Raw genomic sequence first — 26307 nt, 5'->3', positions numbered from 1 at the left:
TTACTCCCATCACATGTGGACAACCTGGCACTGCCTCTAAGTTGATAGAGACCTCCTGGGCCTGGTCAGGGTGTTAGCCCAACAAGCCTTGTCAGAAGTCTCAGGAATCATACTGTCAGGTCACACTTCTCTGAGCTCCAGGGCTCTAGAGATCAGCAGGGGCTGTGGTGAGAGATGGAATGAACAAATCACTGGTCCAGGCAGCCTTCTCCTAAGCCTCCTCCTGTCTAGCCACCAGGTCTAGCTCTTTGAAAACGAAGACCCCTGAGGGTGGGAAGGTCATCTGTGTTGGAGACAAGGGGCAGAAGGAGCTGCCATTTCCCCCTTCCTCCTTGACTTGTATCATCTCCAACCCTTCTGGTACTGACCAATGTCCCTAGCCTCTTTCAGTCCTTTCCCCTCCAGCATTATCGATGCTCTCCTTGACCCATACTGCTTGCTCTCTAGATGATAGAAACATATGAAGGCTCATTTTTACCATTCCATGTATTTTATGTATATTTGAAAAAAGTTACAGGAAACCTTTAAAAAGTAGTTCTTTAATCCTCCTGGAATTAATTTTTGTGTGTAATTCCAAGGAGGGTTCTTGTTACATTTTGTTTTCTACATGGATATTTAGTTGTTTCACTGTCATTTATTAAAAGTTATAGTTTTATTATTGCCCTATCTCTCCTGCTCTTTTTAAATATATAAATCAAAAGTCCATGTATTAAGTGGGTGTGTTTCAGGAATCTCTATTCAGCTCCATTGTTCTATTTGTTACACCTTGTACCCATACTACAAATTCTTTATCACTAGAGCTTTCTAGTCATTCTTACTATCTGGTGGAGGAACTCCTTTTATCTTCTTTTATCTCAAGAATGTCTTGGCCATGCTTAGCCTATTGCATGTTGTGTTAATCTGTTCTCACATTGCTATAAAGAAATATTTGAGACTGGATAATTTATAAAGAAAAGAAGCTTAATTGGCTCACGGTTCTGCAGGCTGTACAGGAAACATGATGCTGGCATCTGCTCAGCTTCTGGGGAGGCCTCATGAAACAATCATGGCAGAAGGTGAAGCGGAAGCAGGTACGTCACATGGCCAGAGCAGGAATAAGAGAGAGGCAGGGGAGATGCCACACACTTTTAAACAACCAGATCTCACGAGAACTCACTCACTATCACGATAACAGCACCAAGGGGGTGGCGCTAAACCATTCATGAGAAATCCAGCCCCATGATCCAATCACTTCCCACCAGGCCCCACCTCCAACAATGGAGATTACAATTCAAAATGAGATTTGGGTGGGGACACATATAGAAACTATATCACATGTCAATTTAAATTTCAGAGTCATCTTGCAATATTTTACACACACATGTATGTAAGCACACACATTCACACATAAAGACTTTAATTTTTAAATTGGGATTGCAATCATCTGTACATTACTTCTGGAAATAATTAACATGTCTACAATATTGAATACTCACATCCATTTATTTTATATTTAAAGCCTTAATTAGTTCATTAATTTAATTTCCATGAAGTTCTTAGGCTTTCTTTGGTTAGATTCATTTTACAAGGTATATTTTGTTTATTCTCATTTTCATACTGTTACTGCAGAAACTTAATTTTTTTGTAAATTGATATTTGTCCTGCAACTTTTATATATATTTTATTAAATGAATAATTTACTCTTATTTTGAATTTTCTTTATACACAATCTAAAAACCATCTGTTAATTAGGCAAATTTTGTTTATTTTTTATCTCTAGCCCTTTGATTTCATCTGCTTAGCATTACTGCACTGGCTAGTACCTCTATTACAGTATTGAATAGAAATGGTGATAGCAAGAATCATTGTCTTTTACAATTTCAAAGTAAAAGTAACTTTCAACTTTTTGATGTTTGCTGTAGTTTTTTGGTAAATACTCTTTAAGTAGTTTGCTAACAGTTTTTCATTGTTAATCAACCTGTAGCTTTAGACTTAGAGAAAAATAGAAAACCTAGTATTGAGTGCCTTATGCTCTACACCGTTTCCTCTATTATTAACATTTTCCATTAGTATGGTACATTTGTTACAACTATTGAACCTATATTAACACATTGCTATTAACCAGAGCACATACTTTATTCAGATTTCCTTTGTTTTTACCTAATGCATTTTTTTTTCTGTTCCAGAGTTTCATGTAGGACCATCGTTTCACATTTACTCGTCATGTCTCCATAGGCTCCTCTTAGCTGTGGCAGGTCTTAGACTTTCCCTACGTTTGATGACTTTGATCTTCACAGTTTCGAGTAGCATTGGTCAGCTATTGTGCATAAAGCCCTTCTACTGGGATTTGTCTTATACGTCTGTCATGATTAGAATGAGAGTATGAACTTCCAGGGGGAAGATCTCAGAGGTAAAATGCCATTCTCTTCACATCATGTAAAAGGAACCTATTAGAAATATGATTTCTCATGGTTGATGTCAGCTTCGGTACACCACTTGTTCTGTAAAGGTACAGCAATCTACAAAGTATGATATTGCCAAAAGAATGGACACACATCAATGGAACAAAATAGAAATAGATCCATAAAAATATAGTTTACTGATTTTTTGACAAAGATGCAAAGATAATCCTATAGAGAAATGATAGTCTTTTCAACAAAGGGCACCTGAACAAATGGATCTCAATATGCAAAGAAATGAACCTAGATAAAACTTTATATCTTTCACAAAAAATAACCTCAAAGTATATTATAGACTCAAATTTAAAATGCAATATTATAAAACTTCTTGAAGAAAATAGGGGAAGATCTACATGACCTGGGTTTTGGTGATAAATTTTTTAGATACAACATCAAAAGGGTGGTCTATGAAAGGCAAAATTGATAAGTTAGACTTTCTAAAAATAAAAAAGAAACCTCGAAAGCTCTTTGAAAGACATTGTTAGGAAAAAGAAAAGAGAAGCCACAGACTATGACCAAGTGTTTGCAAAACATATATCGGATAGAAGATCTGTATCCAAAATCTACAAAGGAGGCTTACAACTGAACAATAAGAAAACAAATTTATAAAAACTCAATCAATGGGCAGAAACTCTGAACAGACACATCGCCAAAGAAGATATACAGATGGGAAATAAGCATAAGACAAGACCATCAACATCATTCTTCGTTAGTGAATTGTGAATTAAATAACAATGAGATACACAGCTATTAGAATGTCTAACAATACCACTTGCTGGCAACACTAAGGAGCAACAGACACTCTTACTCATTGCTTCTGGGAATGCAAACTGGTACAGCCACTTTCAAAGATGGTTTGTCAGTTTTTTGTTTGTTTGTTTGTTTTCAACAAAGCTGAACACAAGTCTTGCTATTCCTAGGTATGCATCCAACTAGTTTGCAAACTTGCTTCCACACAAAAAACTTGCATACAAGGGTGTATGGCAACTTATTTCATAATTACTAAAAACTGGAAACAACCAGGATGTTCTTCAGTAGGTGAACGGATAAACAAACTGTGGTCCAACAATAATAGAACATTATTCGTGAAAAAAAGAAATGAGCTATCAAGCAACAGAAACACATGAGCTTAGCGTTAAGTGAAAGAAGCACTATAGTGAAAAGCACTGCAGTCTAGTTGATAAGTCTGTTTCCCACAAGGATGGGGGTTAACAGTTCTGGTTCTACTGTGCATATATATACATACACACACATATACGTATTTGTATGTATGTATATATCTACCCATGGATCAACTACTTTATTTATTTATTTTTATTTTTTATTTTATTTTTTTGAGATGGAGTCTCGCTCTGTTGCTCAGGCTGGAGTGCAGTCGCACGATCTCGGCTCACTGCAAGCTCCGCCTCCCAGGTTGACGCCATTCTCCTGCCTCAGCATCCCGAGTAGCTGAGACTACAGGCAAGCTGCAAGCTGTACTACCTGCAGTTGAGGGAGGGGTGGTACGAGCACCCGCTTGGCCACCCCAGTTGGTATCTCACTAGGGTGCATGCCCCCTAAGTCCACTGGCTCTGAGCTTAGCCCAGCACCAGGACTTGCCCAAGAATTGTAATCCTTGTGGCCTAGACTGCCTTTCATTTAGCACCACGGACCACTTTAGTCCACAGTGGTGAGGCTTGTGGAACTCAGGTTCTGACCACTGGTTAGGGCTGGTCTAAATGCTCCCTCTGTGGGTACCGGCTGAGTTATGCCTGGTGTTGCTTTCTGCTGTAACAGGGCAGTAGTGAGTTCCAACGCAAAGTCCCACAATCACTGCCCTCTCTCTCCCTTAAACACACAGATTCTCTTTCCGTGCCACACAGCAACTACTGGGAGATGGGGCAGGGATGGTGTTAGCAATTCAAGACTGTCTCTCCTACCATCTTCAGTGCCCCTTTCAGTGGTATGAAGTTAGAACCAGGTACTATGATCATTCACCTGATTTTTCATTCTCATTAAAGTGCTTCTTTGTGTGGATAGTTGTTCAATTTGATCTTCCTGCAGGGAGGACAATTGGTGGAGGCTTCTGTTTGGCCTTCTTGTTCTGCCTTCAAGCCAAAAGAATTATTTCACATTAGAAACAATTCAATTGTAATTCTGTACATACAAGATAGAGTAGAAAAAACATTTGGTCATTTCGATGAGTACAGAAAAAGCCTCTGAAAGAAATACTATGTGATTTCAAATTGACAACTTTCAGCAAACTAAGATGAAAAGGAACTTCCCTTTCCTAAAATTGGCAGCAACCATATTTAAATATGAACTTTTAGAAGAAGCATTCACATTCATGTCAGACACAAGTCGTTGACATATGCTGTCATGGCTACTGTCCATAGCTGCAGTGGGTAGCAAAAATGCAAAAGAGTCAGAGCTATGGATATCAAAATGAAAAAGAGGTATGAAGATTGAAAAGAAAGATAATATTTGTTGAGAATATGATTATCTATCAAGAAAATTCAAAGGAAAAGACACATGGAATATTCAAATAAATAAGAGGCTTCAGAAACCAGCAAATAGTAGTTCACTACAGCAAAATCAAGAGGCTTGCCACACAAAAGCAACTTAGAACATATGAAACAGAAAATATAGCATTCAAAAAAGCAATAAAATCCAAAATTAAACAGAAGCCTCACAAAAATATATAAGATCTTCACGGAGGCAACTGTATAAGTTTACTGATAGATTCTGGAAAAAATTTTCCAAATAAATGGAGGAGTGTCATAAATTCATTGATGGAAAACAGAATACTGCAAGGATGTCAATTCTGCTTAAATTATATACAGAGCTAGTGCCTTACCTGTAGCTGCCAAAATAACAATCAAGTTCAGGCTGCTGTGTTCTGTTCCCAAAATCAATTCTGGAAAAGTATAGAATGGAAAAAGAAAAAAAAAGGATTAGCAATAAAATCTAAACCACAAAACAGAGAAATCCCTGGGGAGACTAAGACTGCATTGAACTGCTACTTGTGTTTGGGGCATGGGGTAGTGGCAGAGAAGTTGGGGAGGTCTGTAGCCTGCGCTGACAGCACACTACAGAATGGGTAGAAGGAAAAATTATTTTAAACTCCCACCCCATATTATTGCCTAATATGAGGCAGCATCTCACAATGTGATGCCAGTAGCCCTGGGGTAATATCAGGACACCAGGAATCTTGGTGTGATTGAGACATGATGGCTCCAGAGTTCTGTTAATACCCACTTGACACCAACTTAGTAGGTGAGGCCTGGCCTTCCAAAAATGTAATTTAAATAGAATATAAAGAATGAACTAGAAATGGAATAGCATGAGTGAATCATACATAGTATGAGTAGATATTGTTTAATGAAATAAGTATATGTAATATATGTACATATATATCTGTAAAGATATATAGTGTGAATACATAAAATTATTCATATATAACAAACTTATATACATACATGTTTATGTATCTAAACATAAGCATAGTCTACATATATGACATATAATGTACACATACAATTAGCAGAAATGTAAAATTTATTTCTTACTGTGTGAATGCGGATTAAAATATGCACGTCACTAAACAGTACAATTAAATGTCACAAAAATTCCAAATGCAGGACTCCTCAATTCTCTTGCTGCTGCTCAGCCTCTTCAGTGTAAAAATAAATGCTTTAGGACAAAAGGTTTGACAAGTCGACTTCTGGCTGGGGAGGAGCCCCCGTGGGAAGGTGTGTGTCTTCTCCCAGAGGCCACTACAATCGCAGGCACTGCAGCTCCCCAGGGAGCACCTGGCCTGGGACCCGCAGCCATTCTCTGCAAGGGGTACAGCTGGGCGAATACTCAGAGGTGACAGAAACAGAGCATCCCCCACCCATCACTTCATCAAAGAGCCAGGAGCCAAGAGGAGAACCCTCCTGAGTAAGGATTGAGGGTCCACTCACCCCACATAGAGGGACCACAGAATCCAGTTCAGCCCCTCCTGTCAGCCCTGGAAGACCCTGACAATGTTGTCGCCCCGACCATATCCCTCCCTCCACTGCCACCTCAGGGGACTCGGAGTCAGTGCTTTGGTCTGAGGGGAGCAGACACCATCCACACAGGATGGGATCCAGGCTCTGCCAGGCATCAAGGTCAGGACCTTGAGGATGACTGAGAGTGCCCACCCCCTCGACCTCGACCCCCCACCCCCACCCCCATTTCCACCCCCACTCATAGCAGAATCCGCTATGACACCAGCAGTCAACCCAAGGAAGCCCCAGGCTTGGTGGCCGGATGTGACGGCTAGGGGGTCAGAGAAGCGAGGGTCTCGGTCTGAGGGGCGGCTTGAGATTGGCAGAGGGAAGTGGACCCAGGCTCTGTGAGAAGACAAGGTGAGAGGCTGAGGGAGGACTGAGGACGCCTCCACCCCAGATAGAGGACCCCAAATAATTCAGCGTCACCCCTGCTGCCAGCCCTGGACCACCTAGGGGAGTACTTCTCAGTCTGGGCCACCCCCCGGCGCCCTGCCAACCCCCGCCGCTTATGCCACAGGGGACTCTGGAGTCAGAGCTTGGTGTGACCAAGGCAGGGGTGGTTAGGAGAGGGCAGGGCCCAGGTTCTGCCAGGTTTCAAGGTGAGGACCCTGAGGAACGACTGAGGGCCTCCCTCACCCCCAAGCCCACCGTCACCGCCACGACCTACAGCCTCAGGATCCCCATCCCCATCCCCATCTTCACCCCCATCCTCGCCCCCACCCCTCCTCCATTCCCATTCCCATCCCCACCCCCACCCCGACAGAATCAGGTTTTGCCCCTGCTGTCAACGCAGGGAAGCCCCGGGTGCCCGGATGTGATGCCACTGATTTGCGCCTCAGGGATCAGAGGGAAGCGAGGGCCTGGTTTTGAGGGGTGGCTTAAGATCGGCGGAGGAAAGCGGGCCCGGGCTGTGTGTGAAGGAAAGGTGAGGCGTTGAGGGAGGACTAGGGACACCCCGTTGCAACCCAAGATAGAGGACCCTAAAAAATCCAGCACCACCCCTGCTGCCAACCCAGGACCACCCGGGGGCGGACTTCTCAGGCTGGGCCGCCCCCAACTCTCTGCCACTTAAGCCTCAGGGGACTCTGGAGTCAGAGGTTGGTGTGATCAGGGCAGGGCTGCCTAGGAGAGGGCAGCAGCCAGGCTCTGCCAGCCATCACGTTCAGGACCCTCAGAGAGGGTTGAGGGCTCCACAGAGCGGGGCTCTGTCCTTGCTGTCAGCCCTGGGAATTTCCAGGCATGGTGGCCAGGCATGTGGATCCTGGCATGGGCATCCAGGGCTGACGGAGGGAAGGGGCTTCATATCATGAGCACGGATTGCGGGGAGCAGAGGGAGGGCCCAGGCCCTGCTGGGAGACAAGGGAGGCCTGAGAGAGGCCCGAGGGCACCCAGGACCCCAGGACAGGGGGCCCACCCACCCCCTGTTTGAGACTGAGGTGCCTCCTCATTTGGCCTTGGGAATCTGAGGGATGAAGACTCAGGTCAGCAGGCTGGGGTGGGGCCCAAGCCTGCCGGGAGTCAAGGGCAGGAAGAAGAGGGAGGACTGACGGGAACTTGGAGTCCAGATCAGTGGGGACCTCGACCCTGGGAGGTCCCAGGCACAGTGGCCACATGTGGCCTGGACTCGCTGTGCCTTTGGGGTGTCAGGGAGGAGAGGACTGTGGTCTGGGGAGTGGGGCCTCAGGTCAGCAGAGAGAGGAGTCCCAGAGCTCTGAAGGATGACTCAGAAGACCTTTCTTCCCAGACTTAGGAAACCTGCCCCTACTGTCAGTCCTGGGAGGCCTGGGCAGGACTGTGGGGAAGGGATGCTGTCCCACCACTTTCTCCCTGAGGGTATCAGGGACATGGTGGCCTTGGCATACAGTTCAGCAGGAGGGAAAGAGCCGGGCCCTGTCGGGACTCAATCTGAACACCTGGAAGACACCCAGACAGCGGAGGGCCCCCTGAAACTTGCACCTTCTGTCAGCTTTGGGAATCCCACGCAGGGGTGACCGTGTGGTGCCCCCTCACCTCTACCTCCCGGGTCTCAGTGAGGTGGGGGCCTTGGTCTGAGGGGCGTCCTCCGCTCAGCAGAGGTAGCCACACCTGGTCAGCACCGGATAGAGTCCAGGGTCTTCCAGGAGTGAAGGGGAGGAAGTTTGGTAAGGACTGAAGGTAAGAAGTTACCTCCACATCATAAAGAAGAAGGGAACTTGCAGAGCCGCCCAGCTTCCCCTGTTCTCAGCCCTGGGAGGCCACAGGCAGGGATGGCATGTGGCATGCTCTCATTTCTGCCATGTGGTTGGAGGTGGGAGGTCTCAGGGAGGTGAGGACCTTGGTCCCAGTGACACTGACAGGCCAGTAGAGGGAGCCACACCTGGTCAGCAGAGGGAGGAGTCCCAGCATCTGCAGGACCCACGGTGTGCACCTTTCATGAGGACTGGAGGTACCCCCAGCCCAGAAAGAAGAGACCCCGCAGAGTCTGCTGTCCTTGTTCTTAGCTCTGGGGGGACCTGATCCAGGGTGGCCCTAAGTGGCAATCTCACTTGTGCCACGGGCAGGAAGTTGGAGAACCCTCAGGGAGATGTGGTCTTGGTGTAAAGGGGAGATGTCTGCTCATCTCAGGGGGCTGAGGGTTGAGGAACGGCAGGTCCCGGCAGGAGTAAAGATGAATAACCCACAGGAGAACTTTGGAACTTCCACCCCAGAACAGAAGGGGGCAGCCCCTGGTGTCAGCCCTGGACACCCCATGGAGGGGTGACGGGATGTGAGTCCTCCTCATGTCGGCTTTGGGATCTCAGGGAGGTGAGGACCTAGTTCTCAGTGGGTTACTCAGGCCAACACAGGGACCCCCATCTGATTAACAGACAGAGCGGACCCAGGATCTGCTAAGACCCCAGGTGAGGAACCTGAGGGAGGATTAAGGGTACCGCTGGACCAGAAGGCAGATGGAGGCCCCACAGAAATCTGCCTTGCCCCTGCTGTTTCCGCAGAGAGCATGGCCAGAGCTGTCAGTTGAGGCCCCCTCTCTTATACCAGGATCAGTGGTCTCAGGGAGGGGGAGGCCTTGGTTGGAGGGGCTGCATTTAGGTCAGAGGGAGGGTCCCAGGCTCAGCCAGGAGTCAAGGTGAGGACTAAGTGGACCCCACACGGCGAATGCACATGACCCAGCCCTGCCCTGCCTTTTCTGTCAGGCATGGGAAACTGCAGGGAACAGTGGGTGGATGGAATCCCCTCACTTCCTTTACTGGTGTCTCTTGGAGATAGGGATTTGATTTAAGGTGGTGGCCTCAGGTAAACAGGGAGAGTCCCAGGATCTGCAGGCATCAAGATGTGGACCAAGCAGGTTCCTCATCTCAGGACACATGGACCCAGCTGAATATGGCCACCTCTTACTGTCCTTGCCTGGAAGCCCTGAGCAGGTGTGGCCAGATGTGGGTCCCCTCATGTCCTTCTGTTCCATATCAGGGATATGAGCTCTTGATCTGAGAGTTTCTCAGGCCAGCAAAGGGGCAGGATTCAGGCCCTGCTAGGAGAAACGTGAAGGTCCTGAGTGAGCATAGAAGGGGCCATCTATGCAAAAGAGTGAGGGAACTGACAGAGTCCAGCCCACCCTCCTGACAGCACTCGGGGGACTGAGGCTGTGCTTGCAGCCTGCACCCTGAGGGCCCCTTGATCCCTCTTCCAGGAGCTCCAGGAACTTGGAGGTGAGGCTTTAGTCTGAGTCAGTGTCCTCAAGCCACAGAGCAGAGGAGACCCAGGCAGTGCCAGCAGTCAAGGTGAGGTGTTCACCCTGAATGTATACCAAGGGTCCCACCCACCCATAATGGATGGGACCCCAGAGCGCCCAGCCCCACCTGCCCTACCCTCAGCCTTGGGGCCTTGGCCTCTGCTGGCTGGCTGTAACCTGAGAAGCTGTGTCACTTCTTTCTTCAGATTCTCAGGGGACAGGCTGACCAGGAGGACAGGAGCCCCAGGAGGCCCCAGAGGAGCACTGAAGGAGAAGATCCGTAAGTAGGCCTTTGTTAGAGCCTCCTCCAAAGTCTGGTTCTTAGCTGAGGCCTCTCACACGCTCCCTCTCTCCCCAGGCCTGTGCATCCCCATTACCCAGCTCCTGCCCACACTCCCGCTTGCTGCCTTGACCAGAGTCATCATGCCTCTTGGACAGAGGAGTCAGCACTACATGCCTGAGGAAGGCCTTGAGGCCCAAGGAGAGGTCCCTGGCCTGGTGGGTGGGCAGGGTCCTGTGCCTGAGGAGGAGGAGGCTGCCTCTTCCTCCTCTAGTCTGATCATGGGCACCCTGGAGGAGTTGTGTGCTGCTGAGGCACTGAGTCCTCCCCAGAGTATGCAGGGAGCCTCCTCCTCCCCCACTACCATCGATAACACTCTATGGAACCAATCCGATGAGGGCTCCAGCAGCCAAGAAAAGGAGGAGCCAATCACCTTGCCCATCCCAAGTGTCATGGAGTCCTTCCTCCGAGAGGCACTCTGACAAGGTGTCTGATTTAGTTAGTGTCCTGCTCCACAAGTTTCGAATTAAGGAGTCAGTCACAAAGGCAGAAATGGTGGATAGTGTCATCAAAAATCACGAAGACTACTTCGCTTTCATTTTCAAGGAATCCTCCGAGTACATGCAGCTGATCTTTGGCATCGACGTGAAGGAAGTGGTCCCCACCGGCCATTCCTATGTCCTTGTCACCTCTCTGGGCCTCTCCTATGATGGCATGCTGGTTGATGACCCGAGCAAGCCCAAGACGGGCCTCCTAATAATTGTCCTGTGTGTGATCTTCACGGAGGGCAACTGCGCCCCAGAGGAGGTTATGTGGGAAGCCCTGAATGTGATAGAGGTGTATGCTGGGAGGGAGCACTTCATCTATGGGGAGCCCAGGAAGCTGCTCACCCGGGATTGGGTGCAGGAAAATTACCTGGAGTACTGGCAGGTGCCCAGAAGTGATCCTGCATGCTATGAGGAAGAGAGAGTTTCAGCAGGCGATGCAGCCAGGGCCAGTGGAGGGTGGGGTGGACTAGTGCACGTTCCAGGGCTACATCCAGCAGCTTCCCCACCCTGTGTGACATGAGGCCCATTCTTCACTCTAAAGAGAGCAGTCAGCGTTCTCACTAGTGAAAGGCACGGTGGGTGGAAGGGAACTCAGTGTATAATGTCTTTGTGTTCTGTTCTATTTGGATGAGTTTGCTATTTTGTAAAACATATTGGGAAGCCCTTCATCTGGTTTTGCGGTTTGGAACAAGATGCCATGGCATTGGAATAGGTGTTTCCTTGGAGAATGAAATACATTAGCAAAAAAATTGATGGGGTCATGAAACAGAGAAATAAAAGGAAAAGATAGGCTGCTCTGCCCGTAGAGTAGCTATTCTTTTATTTACTTTCTTAATAAACTTGCTCTCACTTTACTCTATGGATTCACCTCGAATTCTTTCTTGCACGAGCTCCAAGAACCCTCTTTTGGAGTCTGCACTGGGACCCCATTCCAGTAACATCTTTCCGGTGAACCCTGAAGGGACAATACTGAGGAAACCCCCTGACCCAAAGGAAATAGACGGCAGCACTGACTGGCAGACTTTGGAGTCAGGAAAACTTTTCTTCTGGGCTATTGACAGCTTTTAACAATTCAGTAAAGTATACTTCTGTGAACAAAATTCAGAGCATATTTGTTTCTCTCTACCTAATTTCTCTAGAATTTGGAAACTGCTTGTGAATATTCTTAACTTATAGCAATATAGTTATTTGCATAAGTGCAATAAGAATCTGTTTTCTTTTGCAACAAGACACAATTGGAGAAACTGGTTATTTTACCAAGGCTTTGACTGGAATGGTGTTCTTTCCTTTAAGGGATCAAACTTGACTTATAGAGCCAATAAAAACCCCTTGGGAAAACTAGCCTCATAACTTGTCTACACAGTCCCTGTGCAGGGTTACTGACCTGTGGTAAGTAAAGAATGTCATTATCTGACAGGCCCAGGAGCCCCAAGTTATCTTGGGACCTCAAGAGGAGAGGATTTTACCCAACTCAGAGGTATTTGACGGCACCCACCCCAGGCTGGACTCAGCTTTAAAAAGGTCTTATCTGAGATTCCTTCTATGGAACAGAGCTCCATGAAAGCCATTTATTTTTATTTTTTATTTTCATTTATTTATTTATTTATTTATTTATTTATTTATTTATTTATTTATTTTCGAGACCGAGTTTTGCTCTTGCTGCCCAGGCTGGAGTGCAGGAGGGTGATCTTGGCTCACTGCAACCTCCGCCTCCTGGGTTCAAGCGATTCTCTTGCCTCAGCCTCCCGAGTAGCTGGGATTACAGGCACCCACCACTACGCTCGGCTAATCTTATATATATATATATATATATATACACACACACACATATATATATATACACACATATATATGTGTATATATGTGTGTGTGTGTGTCTGTGTGTGTGTGTGTGTGTGTGTGTGTGTGTATATATATATATATAATTTTTTTTTTCTTTTAGTAGAGATGGGGTTTCAACATGTTGGCCTGGCTGGTCTTGAACTCCTGACCTCAGGTGATCCGCCCACCTCAGCCTCCCAAAGTGCTGGGATTACAGGCGTGAGCCACCATGCCCGGCCCATCAAAGCCAGTTTTAAAAGAGCTTATGTGAGGCTGGGCGTGGTGGCTCATGCCTGCAGTCCCAGCACTTTGGGAGGCTGAGGCAGGAGGACTGCTTGAGCCCAGGAGTTCGAGACCAGACTGGGCAACATTGGGAGACTGCCTCTATTAAAACATAAAATAAAAATAAAAATATAAAGAGCGTATGTGAAAAATAATTATTCTTGCTGCACTTTATACAAATGATCAGGCCAAGTATAATAAAACAAACCAGTCTTACCATGATTTGTCTTTAGTAAAAATGGGAGACTGGAGAGAGAAAAAAATATGATGTTGCAAAAACTATGGTGCACCTGTTATTAGATTCTAGTTTCATTCGTTGTTTTAAAGTTTTTTTCTGCAATTTAGACTCACTTTTCTTATTCCTGTGAACCAATCAGTGATCCCTGACTGCTATTTAGAAGAAGCAAGAGGGATGGGTAATGTAAAAATCTGGATCAATATTCTAGTTCTGGGCACATATTGAAATCAGATAGTGACCCCGTATCAGCCTGGTTCTAACAGTTGCCCAGTTCAAGGAAAGCCTTCTTACTTAGTTTACCTTGGGATAATTTTACTTATTTTGCTTTACTGTTGTGGAATACACTGGTGTTGTATTCTTGGTGCAGGAGTGCAGGATAAGCTTACTCAATGTTTTCTTAAACTGAACACTTATTAATCTTCCAGATAACATGTTTTGTCAGAACTCAGAGTTGTGTATGACCCTCACCAAACTGACGCTTTCTGACTGAGCTCCTCTCTGTCCTGAATTCAAAAGACTCTCATAATTAGGCAGTAATATCATCACCCCTATTCAGCCTGAAGAAGTTACAGAAGATGGATCTTCATCCCTCTACAACCCTTAGGAATAAAGGTTCTCAGATAAAAGGGAGGAGGGAAATGTCAGAGGTGTTTGAACCAGAGCAACTCCATCTTGAACAGGGTCTGGGTAAAATAGGGCTGAGACCTACTGGGCTACATTCCCAGGAGGTAAGGCATTCTTAGTCACAGGATGAGACAGTATGTCGGCACAAGATACAGGTCATAAAGACCTTGCTGATAAAACGGGTTGCAGTAAAGAAGCCAGCCAAAACCCACCAAAGCCAAGATGGCAATGAGAGTGACCTCTGGTCATCCTCACTGCTCATTATATGCATTAGCATGCTAAAAGACACTCCCACCGGCACCACGACAGTTTACAGATGCCATGGCAACGTTTGGAAGTTACCCTATATGGCTGAAAAAGGGGAGGAGCCCTCAGTTCCAAGAATTCCCCACTTTTTTCCTGGAAAACTCATGAATAGTCCACCCCTTGTTTAGCATATAATCAAGAAATAACCATAAAAATGGGCAACCAGCCGGGCGCCATGGCTCACGCCTGTAATCCCAGCACTTTGGGAGGCCAAAGGGGGTGGATCACGAGGTCAGGAGATCGACAGCATCCTGGCTACCACAGTGAAACTCTGTCTCTACTAAAAATACAAAAAATTTGCCGGGCATGGTGGCAGGCACCTGCAGTCCAGCTACTTGGGAGAATGGGGCAGGAGAATGGCATGAACCAGGGAGGCGGAGCTTGCAGTGAGCCGAGATCACGCCACTGCACTGCAGCCTGGGCGACAGAGTGAGACTCTGTCTCAAAAAAAAAATAAAAATAAAAATAAAAATAAAAATAAGAAGGCGACCAGCAGCCCTCAGGGCTATGGAGTAGCCATTCTTTTATTTCTTTACTTTCTTAATAAACTTGCTCTCACTTTACTCTAAAAAATAGAAATAAAAGGAAAAGACAGTTAATTCTCAGCTTTTTATTCATGTGCTGTTCTATAAAATTAAGCCATATATGTGTACCTGGATTTTCTTGGCTTATTCAAGGATGTAGGAGAAATTATATCTTAAATGGAAGTCCTGGTCACTGGCTCATTCTTTCTCAAACACTCACTGAGCATCTGCTCTTTGGAAAGCACTGTGTTACTGGAGATACTGGCATAAGTCAGACCCACCCCTACCCGAAGGGTGGTAGGGTCTAGGAGCTATAGTCATAAAATTAAGTTGGTGAGATTTCCTCTAAGACCTAGAGGAAAAGTAAGAGAGGGCAGAATGTGTGGTGCTCCCGGTGAGAGTGGTGGAGTGTAAATGCCCTGAGCCAGGGCCTTTTGGGCTTTGGGAAACTGCAGTTCCTTCGGAGGAAGCTGATTCTAATGAAGCTGGTGGGTCCAGGGTCAGATTCTCAGGGAGAGAAAAGCCTGGAATGGAAAACTGCTCTGAGCAGTTCATTATGGTTGGTGGATGAACATAGACGAGTTTCCACCTGGGGCAGGAATGGAAGGCATCCTGTGCTCTTATCCCAGTGCGGTTGAATACAGCCCAAGAGCTAGGTGATGGATACTCATCATCTGCAAGGGTTTCCTGGGAGGTAAGGGTGAATCTCTCAGGAAGGGAGGCCCAGAAGCCACTGGCAAGGTACTCTTCTGCCTTAGTGGGAGAGCTAGAGCTGACTCTAGTCAAATGGCATTCTAATTAGGTTATCTCAAGTGTAATTTGGCCATTCCTGAGCATGGGCTAGATTTTGCGTGGTGATTATATGAATGAAAATAGTGGTTGAGATGGAAAAGCAGCTGAGAGGGAGGAAAAGAGTTGGTCCTGGACTCACGTTCCAGGAACACTGAGCTGCAATCCAGCTGAAGAAGACTCCTCCACACACAAATTAAACAATAGATCCTCTAGGAGGGAAATTCTACTGTGTTTTGTCTATGAAGCAACACTTTGGGCTGAGTTGGTATTCTATTCTCTGTACTGTTGTGCTACGTACTCTGAGGTTTCCTAGATAACAATAACAACAGCAACAACAAAATTCCCAGAGGCAACTATGGTAGGATCTGAGTTCCAAATAGTAACACAAATAACTGCCAAACATTAACGATCTAATATATGCCAGGCCCTGAGCCAAGTGCTTTACTTACATTGCACACACTCCAAAAGTCCTATAAGACAGACTTTATCAAACCTGCTTCACAGATGAAGAACCTGATGCTCATGCGGCTTGATGATTTCCCCATAATTACATGGCTAATAAGCAACACGGTTGGGATTGCATCCCTGCTAGATTAGGATGGGCCCCAATCCAATATGACTGGTGTCCTTATAAGAAGAGGACATTAGGACACAGACACACACAGAGGAAAGACCATGTGAAGACACAGGAAGAGAATGGCCATCTACAAGTCAAGGAGACAGGCCTCAGGACAACTCAACCCTGCCCACACCTTGAGCCTGAACTTGTAGCCTCCGGGACTGGGAAAATACATTTCTGACGCTTAAGCTCCCCCAGTCTGTGGTACCTTGTTATGATAGCCAAAGCAAACTAATACACATGGTCCGAATTCATCTGAGTGTATGTCATTCCTTCGCGTCCCAACCTGAAGCAGACCTTCGTCTTGCTATTTACTTCTCAGGAATCCACGTCTCTCAGGCAACCAAAAGAAGGACCCTGTGGTCAAGCTACAAAAAGTATGCCTAAAGAAGTGCTATGGACTGAAATGTGCTCCCCTCCAAAAAAAAAAAAAATGTATATGTTGAAGCTCTAAGTCCCAATGTGATGGTCTGGAGATGGGGCCTTTGGGAGGTAATTAGGGTTAGATGAGCTCCTGAGAGCGTAGGCCCTCATGATTGGATTAATGTCTGTATTCGTTCATTCTTGCGTTGCTATAAAGAAATACCTGAGACTGGGTAATTTATTAAAAAAAAATAGGTTTAATTGGCTTACGGTTTGCAGGATGTACAGGAAGCGTGGCAGCATCTGCTTCTGGAGAGGCCTTAGGGAGCTTTTACTTATGGCAGTAGGCAAAGAAGGAGCAGGCTCTTCACTTGGTGAAAGCAGGAGCAAGAGAGACGGGGGGGGCATTGCCACACACTATTATATGACCGTATGTCGTGAGAAATCACTCACTATCATGAGCACAGTACCAAGGTGATGGTACTAAACTATTAATGAGAAATCTGCCCCCATGATCCAATCACCTCCCACCAGGCCCCACCTCCAACACTGTGGATTACAATTCAGCGTGAGATTTGGTGGGGACACTGATCCAGACCATATCAGTGTCCTTATAGGAAGAAATGCCAGAGAGCTTGCACATTTTTCTCTTTCTCTCTCTGCCATGTGAGGACTCACAGAGAAGGTGGGCATCCATAAGCCAGAAAGAAGACCCTCACCAGACACCCACCATACTGGCATTCTGACTTTTGGCTTCCCAGCCTCCAGAACTGGGAGAAAATAAGCATCTGTTGTGTAAGACCCCCAGTCTATAGCATTTTGTTACAGCAGCATGAAATGACTAAGACATGAAGGAAGGTGACAATGAGAACCAACACAATTTAGGAATCGTCTGTGGTTCCTTGAGAGCCAACTCTGTCCAGGTGCCAGCATTTCTGTGCATTCCCAGCACTTTCCCGAATTATAGCACCCTTCCACAATGGTCTTGCCCCATGTGCCTGCCTGTCCAATTCTGGAATCGAGCTTGCTGCTAAGCTCTTCATGGTTGCATCCTTTAAAGGCTGTGCCCTACTTCCAGTGGGACAGCCAAGAGTCACCTGCCCTTCTCCTAACATAGAACAGTTCTACTTTCTGGAGAAGTCCCCTGACTGTCCCTGTTCCTCACACTGGGGCCCCTCTAATAGCAAAAATACATTTGACTTTGAATAGAGACCTTTAGACATCTGATCATCCTGTTGGATGTCTTCAACACATTCTTAAAATGTTTTCCAAGTCAGCTGGTGAGTAGCGTCTGATTTTGACTTATAATATATCAGTTCCTGGGATACAACCCTGAAGTTAGAAAGTGTTTGAAACCATCCTATATTTACAATAGGACTTTAATAAGCTGTCTCATTGGAAACTGGCCACAGAGCACATACATAGATGGTCAAAAGCCAAAGCCTCTTGTATTAGCTCAGGCTGCCATAACAAAGTACCATAACAAAGTACCACTGGGTGGCTTAAACAAATAGGTAGATGTTTCTCGCATTTCTGGAGGCTGGGAAGTTTGAGATCAAGGTTCTAGCAGGTTTGATGCCTGGTGAGGGTCTCTTCCTGGCTTGTAGACAGCTACCTTCTCTGTGTGTCTGCACATGGCAGAAGGAGAGAATGCGAGCAAGCTCTCTGATGTCTCTTATAAGAGCGGTAATCCCATCACGAAGGTTCCACCTTAATGACCTCATCTAACTCTAATTACGTCCAAAGGCCTCATCTACAGATACATCACACTGGGTCTTAGGGTTTCAACATATGAGTTTTGGTGGGGGTGGGGGCACAGTTCAGTTCACAGCATCTCCTTCATAAGTGACAGATGAGGAAGGACTGTCAAAATCACTGTGGGGCAAATATCTACTGAAGCTGAATTCCTAAAACCCTAAAGTTCTCCTAGGAGACGAAAAGTGGTTCCTCGGTAGGCATGCTAGCTCTGATTAGAAATGGAAAAAAAATCAGAAATGAAAAAAAGAACTCTCTTGGCACTACTTCTGGTCTGTGGATCTGCCCCACAGGAAAGACATAGCTTTCAATGTGTCTAATGGCATCTGAACAGACGTTCAGGTAACAGGAGGGTAGCAGAGACCCACAGGTTGAGGTTTTACCCATGAATTAAAAGAATGAGAAATTCTCAGCCTACTAAGGTTTCAGACATTATTGCAAATGACAGTGCAGAAAAGTGTTAGTAAGTGAAGATAGTTAGTATATCTAACTATACTAGTGAGTGAAGAAGTTAGTATATCACACGAGGTGCTGAGGTATACTGGATCCTTAGAAAACTACATGTGATCCTGTATTTGAAAGCATCTGTCATACAGTACACACTTAAAAAAAGTTGGAGAACGTAAAGAAAATCTGGTTTTCTCCGAAACTCCTCCCAGCAATGAAGAGGGCTGTTGTCATAGCAAATAATAATAGTTCCTTTTTGTTGAGCACCTACTATGCAACAGTTTATGGGAGAGACTATAGTGCTCACCCACATCTCATCTTCCTCTCTTTCCTGGATACATGGGAACAGTACAGTCCACTTGTAGTTAGGAAGGGTCATGTGACAACCCCTTACCACTGAAACATGAGCAGAAGCATTGTTTGTCACATCTAGACATCTGAGAGCCAGTGTGCCATTTCCATGCTTTCTCCCTCCATCTAATAGTAAACATGGCAGCCTCATGTTGAGGTGGTGGAATCCCGAGGTGGAAGCTGCCTGGATACCTGGGTCACGGGAGAGTGGAGAGGCCCTGTCAAACCACATCAGGACTCATGTGCACATTAAATAAACTTGTGTTTTGTCATGTCACTCAAATTCCAGGGTTTGCCTATTGCATCAGCTAGCAGTTACTTCAGTTACTTTAACTGACTAATACACAGCTACTATTTTTGCTGTTAGGCTTATTTAGATATTGTAATTTAAAAGATAATTGTGCCTATATTCTTGTTGCAAAAGAAATCTAAAATACAGATAATTCACAATTCTTCTCTGTATAAAGTTCCTCCACAATTCAGCCCGCACCTCAGAGGTCACCACAATCAGCAACCTGCTGTGTACTATTTTATTGTATATTTTTATTCTTTTCTGTTTTAGTTTGTTTTTGAATGCATTTATTTCACAAATATGTTCATTAGGTGCTATAAAAATGTTTGTATCACCTTTTGTGTTTGTATAAATTAAATCAACAATAATTTCGGTCAAAATTAGTAGTCCCGAGAATTTTTCTCCTTTATACAGGGTGCATATCCGGGGGCCTTCAAAAAGCTCATGAAAAAAAATTGAATTAAAAGATAAAAATAAAAAATATGAACCAATTTCTGAACATAAACTATATCAAGTTCAAGACACTTTTGTAAGTGACGATACCAGATATTTAGTCCATTCCTAAAGAACTGAGAGTCCTGGGAATTTAACCACGTCAGTGCAGTCCTTTTACATTATTAACTGAAGAAAACTGAGTGTCCTTTGACAACTTCTCAAGATTTGGACTGTGGGCTTTTGCGTTAACGCTGAAATGAGTTAAGACTTTGGGGGACTGTTGGGAAGGCAGGATTGGTTTTGAAAGGTGAAGACATGAGATTTGGGAGGGGCCACATGTGGAATGATATTGTTTGGCTCTGTGTCCCCACACAAATCTCATCTTGTAGCTCCCAATATTCCCACATGTTGTGGGAGGGACCCAGTGGGAGATAATTGAATCATGGGGTTGGGTCTTTCCCATACTGTTCTCGTGATAGTGAATAAGTCTCAAGAGATCTGATGGTTTTAAAAACGGCAGTTTCCCTGTACAAGCTCTCTCTCTCTTTGTCTGCCGCCATCCATGTAAGACGTGACTTGCTCCTCCTTGCCTTCCACCATGATTGTGAGGCCTACCCAGCCACGTGGAACTGCAAGTCCAATAAACATCTTTCTTTTGTAACATTCCCAGTCTCTGGTATGCTTTATCAGCTGTGTGAAAAGGAATAAATACAGAGGGGTTCCCCTACTTCATTTGAAGGTTTATTAACTAACAATAATCAGTATAGTGTGGAATTGTCCTAAATTTAGAAACACATAAAAAGAAGAGAGTAAAGTCCAGGAATGGATCCACATGTATATGCATATATATATAAGTCAAATATTGATAAAGATACAAATGAAGATTCGAGGAGAGAAATGATAGTGTATTCAACTGGGTCTAGAACAACTGGATATCTATATGCAAAACTGAATTTCAATCCGTAATTGCTTTCTTCCTGTCTATCTATCTATCTAGCTACCTACCTACATATCTATCTATGTAAAAAGGGAGGGAGAGAAAGAAAGATAAAGGTTTCATAAGGAATTATCTCATGTGATTATGAGGTCTTGTATATCCCAAATCTGTGAGGCAGGCCAGCAGGCTAGAAACTCACACAACATTTTTATGTTAGTCTTGCGGTAGAATTCCTTTTCCAGGAAACCTTAGTCTTTTCTCTTAACACCTTCAACTAACTGGATGAGGCCCATCCACATTATGGAGATTAAACTGCTTCCCTTAAAGTCAACTGATGGTAAATGTCAATCACAACTACAAAATACCTTCACAACAACATCTAGACTACTGTTTGACCACACGGCTGAGCACTATAGCCTAGACAAGTTGACACATAATACTAACCATCGCACATATCTTACACCATACAAAAATGTAACTCAAAATGAACCACAGACTTAAATGTCAAAATTATGGGTTTTTTTTTTTTCTGTAGGAGAAAACAAAAAAAAATTGTGTTACCTGAGGTTATGTCTTAGTAAGCTCAGGCTGCCCTAACAAAATGCCATGGACTGAGTAGCTGAAACAAAACAAATTTATTTTTTTTCACAGTTTTGAAGTATGGAAGTCCCAGATCAAGGACTGGCAGGGTTGGTTTCTGGTGACGGCCTTATTCCTGGCTTGTAGATAGCCCTTTCTCAATATATCCGTTCTTGGCCTTTCCTCTGTGCATGTGCAGAGAGAGAGAGAGAGAGAGAGCTAGTGCAGGCACACAAGTAATTTCTTCTGTCTCTTCTAACTGCTTATAACCATACTAATCCTATGGGATCAAGGCCCCACCCTTATGACCTCTTTTAATATTAATTACTTCCTTAGAGGCCTCATCTCCAAATGCAGACACCCCGGGGCTGAGGGCTTCAAAGTATGAATTTGGTGGAGGACATAAGCATTAGCAAAGAATGCACACATAGATTAATAAAACAGAATAGAGCTCAGAAATAGACCTGCACACTTATAGTCAGGTGATTCACAACAAAGGCAATAATGGTGAAAGTACAGTTTTTCCAGCAAAAGGTGCCTGAACAATTAGACATCTACAGGCAAATTATAATAACCTAGAAACATCCTTACATATTCCAGAAAAATTAACTCGATATAAATCACAGACCTAATGCAAAATGCAAAAACTATACAACCCTCTATAAGAAAACATAAGAGAAAATTCACATAACTTTGAGTTCAGTGGTGAGTTTTTAAATTCAACACCAAAAGCATGATCAATGAAAGAAAAATTTACCAAGTAGATTTTATTAAAATAAACATCATGTGCTCTTCAAAGGACAATGTTAAGAGAATGAAAACAGAAGCCACAGACTAGCAGAAAACATCGGTGGTACACATATGTGATAAAGAACATATCTCTACAACATACACGAATTCTTAAAGTTCAACGACAGAAAAAACATGAAAATAGGCAAAGATCTGAACACACTCCTCACAAAAGAAGATATACACATGGCAAATAAGCATAAAAAAGTACTGAGAATCCGTTCTCATTAGATAACTGTGTACTAAAATGAGATACCACTACACACCTATTAGAATGTCCAAAATCCATAAAAAAGCAAAAAAAAAAAAAAAAAGAAAAGAAAACCAAGATCAATTGCCAGGGAAGATGTGGAGCAACAGAAACTCTCATTCATTGCTGGTGGAAATGCAACATGGTACAGCCACTTTGGAAGACAATTTGGCGTTTTCTTAAAAAACTGAACACAGCATAAGATTCAGCAGTCATAATCAATTTACCCAATTGACGTGAAAACTTACGTCTACATAAAAATTTGTATACGATTGTATACAAAAGATTATTTCATAATCACCAAAAATAGAAGCATCCAAAATGTATTTCATTTGGTGGATGGATATATATATACACACGCACTATGGTACAACCAGACAATGATACTACTACTCCTCAATGAAAAGGAATAAGTTCTGAGCCACACAAAGTTATACATGACTCTTCAGTTCATTATGCTAGGTGAAAGAAACCAGTCTAAAAAGGCTACATAGTATGCGAGTCTATTTATATGACATTCAGGAAAAGGCAAAATTATAAAGATGAAACACCTATCAGTGGCAGCCAAGGGGGTTATCTGACAAGCACAGGGGATTTATCAGGGCAGTGAAACTAGTATGGTAATACTGTAATGGTGGATGCATGCTTGCTTTCATCTGAATATTTGTGTTCCCACAAACTTCATCTGCTGAAATACCAAGGTGATGGTATTAGGTAGAAGGTGGGGTATTTGGAGAATGACTAGTTCATGAGAGCAGAGTCCTCATGAATGGGATCAGTGTTTTTATAAAATAGACTCCACAGAGATCCCTTGCCCCTTCTTCCATGTGAGGACATAGGGGAAAGGCAACTGTCTATGAACTAGGGAGCAGGTCTCCATCAGACATGAAATCTGCCAGCACCTTGATCTTGGACTTCCCAACCTCTAGAATGTGAGAAATAAAGTTGTGTTGTTTATAAGCCACCCAGTCTACACTATTTTTGTTATGGAAGCCCAAAGGGACTAAGACAACGGCACGAGGCATTTGTCAAAACCCATAGATCTTTACAGCACAAAGAGTGAAGCTTAATGTATGTAAAGTCTAAAAGTAACTTAAGAAGTTGGAGAATCATGGGACAGAATGTAGAATGTTACACACACACACAAACCTAGCTGTATTATACATGTATGAAACCACTACAGTGAAGCAAGTGGCGGGAAAGTTACCATATTTGGGTACTCCATCAAAGAAATATGTTTTTTATAAAGTATAAGTCGGCCAGATAAGCATGTAAAATAGTTGAATATTTGATAATCATTTATATAATTTTTCAGATATGAAAACTATTGGGATTCTGTTTAATAAAACGTCCTTATCTTTTAAAAATGCATATTGAGTTATTTCGAGATGAAATGGTCTAATGCCTTAGATTCGCTCCACGTTATTCCAGAAGCTGATGTGCAGGTAGGCAAGTGTCTAACTGGAACCAGATTTGCTGTGTATTTAAAGTTGTTCATGCTGGGTATCTAGTATCCTGGGTTCATTACATTAGTTCCTATTATTCTGTATGTGTGAAGGCTTTCCCTAGTAAAACTTTTTTTATAATAAATATGCCATTAAAAGTGAAATCCTAAATGAAACTGACCACTTTGTAGAAATAAAATAAACCAGTAACCAAACTGATCCAAAAAGAAAAAGAAAACTTTAATTAAACTATAAAAACTGAAACTGTACAATGTTCAAAGCTCAAGCCACCTTCAAACATTCCAGGTTAGGCAGTATTGGAGGCCAATTCTACCAAATGATCAGGGAAAACTAACCACCATCTTATCTCATCTCTTCTAGAACATACAAAATATTTACAATTGTTCAATTCATTCTTCCAGACTAGCCCTCCTGGATTCAAAAACCAGATGAGGACCACATCCCACCCTTGATGGGAAAAAAAGCACACATTAAGTAAGCTCCCTTACATAGCAGCAAATATCCTACGTAAATTACTAGCATATTAAATAAACAGGCTCTGCCCAAGGAAATAACATACGGTTTAACATTAGGGGAAAAAAAAAAACGGTTTCATTGTAATTCCTTACATACAAAATGGAGGAGAAAAAAATTTGATTGCGTCAACGGGTACAGAAAAAGCTTTTTAAAGAAATTTAATATGAGTTCATGGTAAAAAAAAAAAAAAAAGTATTTAACCTATATTCAAAGAGAAATTGCACTTCCTAAAATCAACAGCAAACATACTTAAATGCAAAACGTTCGAATAATTATCATTCACGTCAGGAACGAGAAGTAGATGTAGGCTATTATCTCTACGATTGAAATCAGGATTGAGACACAAAGAGCTATAAGTACCAAAATGAGTAAGTGGTATGAATACTGGAAGAATATGTAATGTTTAGTGATAATACCATTATCGATCTTGAAAATTCAAAGGAAAAGGTATGTGGAATATTCAAGTGCATCGGCCTTCAGAACGAGGTGTGCAACAGATTACTACAGCAAAATCAAAATCTTCACCTCACGAAAGCAATAACTAACTACAACAATTAATAGACAATATGCCATTTGCAATAGCAACAAAATTCATGAATTGCCTGAAAAGAAGTCTAATAAAAATGTATAAGGTCTTTATAGAGACAACTGTCGAAGTATACTGACATATTCAGGTAAAAAAAACCTTGAAATACATAGAGGAGTATAATATATTCATTCATGGGGAGCACAACACTGTAAAAATGTAAACTCAGCTTAAATTATTTACAATTTAGTGCCTTACCTGTAGCCGCCGCCATTACAACAAATTTGGGCTGCTGTGCTCTGCTTCCCAAATCAAACCTGGAAAATTACAGAATGGAAACAGTAAATAAAAAACCAGTATCAGCAACAAAACAGGGAAAGCCCAGGGTGAGACTCAAGGCTGTGTTGAGCTGGTACTTGTGTTTGACACTTGCAGTGTTGGTTGGAGGGGGTTAGCAGCAGGGATGTTGGGGAGGTTTGTAGCCGGCCTACACGGTAGATGACAGAATGGGTAGAATAAAAGTTTGAAATTTTCCACTTCACTTCTTTGCACAATCTGAGGCAGCCTCTGAAAACACGATGCCAAGAGCCCTAGGTAATAGCAGGACACCAGGAAAATTTGGTTGGTTAAGGCAGTATGACTCCAGAGTTCTGCTAATAACAACCTGAAACCACCATAGTGGGAGAGGAATTACATTTTTTAAAAAAAAAAATTCTTTCAACAGAACACAAAGACTGAAATAGGAGGTCACTACAACCGCGGGAGCTGCCGCCCCGCCCTGCAGGGAGCACCTGGCCTGGGACCCGCAGGCATTCTCTACAAGGGGTGCAGCTGTGCAAATGCTCACAGGTGACAGAAACAGAGCATCTCCTGCCCATCACTTCATCCAACAGCCAGAGGTGACGAAAACGACCCTCCTGAGTGAGGACTGAGGGTCCACACCGCCCCCCCACCCCACACACCATAGAGGGACCACAGAATCCAGCTCAGCCCCTCTTGTCAGCCCTGGTAAACGCAGGCAGTGATGTCACCCAGACCACACCCCTTCCCCCAATGCCACTTCAGGGGGACTCAGAGTCAGAGACTTGGTCTGAGGGGAGCAGAAGCAATCTGCAGAGGATGGCGGTCCAGGCTCAGCCAGGCATCAACTTCAGGACCCTGAGGGATGACCGAAGGCCCCGCCCACCCACCCCCAACTCCCCCGACCCCACCAGGATCTACAGCCTCAGGACCCCCGTCCCAATCCTTACCCCTTGCCCCATCACCATCTTCATGCTTACCTCCACCCCCATCCGATCCCCATCCAGGCAGAATCCAGTTCCACCCCTGCCCGGAACCCAGGGTAGTACCGTTGCCAGGATGTGACGCCACTGACTTGCGCATTGGAGGTCAGAAGACCGCGAG

The 26307-nt window shown here is 44.1% G+C and overlaps 1 long non-coding RNA gene and 1 pseudogene across 1 annotated transcript; one reads left to right on the top strand and one right to left on the bottom strand.

Annotated features, from left to right (window-relative positions):
* Positions 1-2559: 2559 nt before the first annotated feature.
* Positions 2560-26295, bottom strand: MAGEA6-DT (MAGEA6 divergent transcript). The gene is made up of 4 exons (XR_001755998.2): positions 26184-26295; positions 25162-25220; positions 5275-5334; positions 2560-4525 (listed from the first exon to the last, which is right to left on the bottom strand). It is a non-coding gene; the product is annotated as an MAGEA6 divergent transcript (long non-coding RNA).
* On the top strand, positions 6619-11732 carry PSMAGEA (MAGE family member A4 pseudogene; annotated as a pseudogene).
* Positions 26296-26307: the final 12 nt, after the last annotated feature.

The sequence above is a fragment of the Homo sapiens genome, chromosome X (genome assembly GCF_000001405.40).
Source record: "Homo sapiens chromosome X, GRCh38.p14 Primary Assembly".
Taxonomy (NCBI): domain Eukaryota; kingdom Metazoa; phylum Chordata; class Mammalia; order Primates; family Hominidae; genus Homo; species Homo sapiens.
The sequence above is the reverse complement of the archived record's forward strand: the minus strand, read 5'-3'. Positions and strand labels throughout refer to the sequence as shown.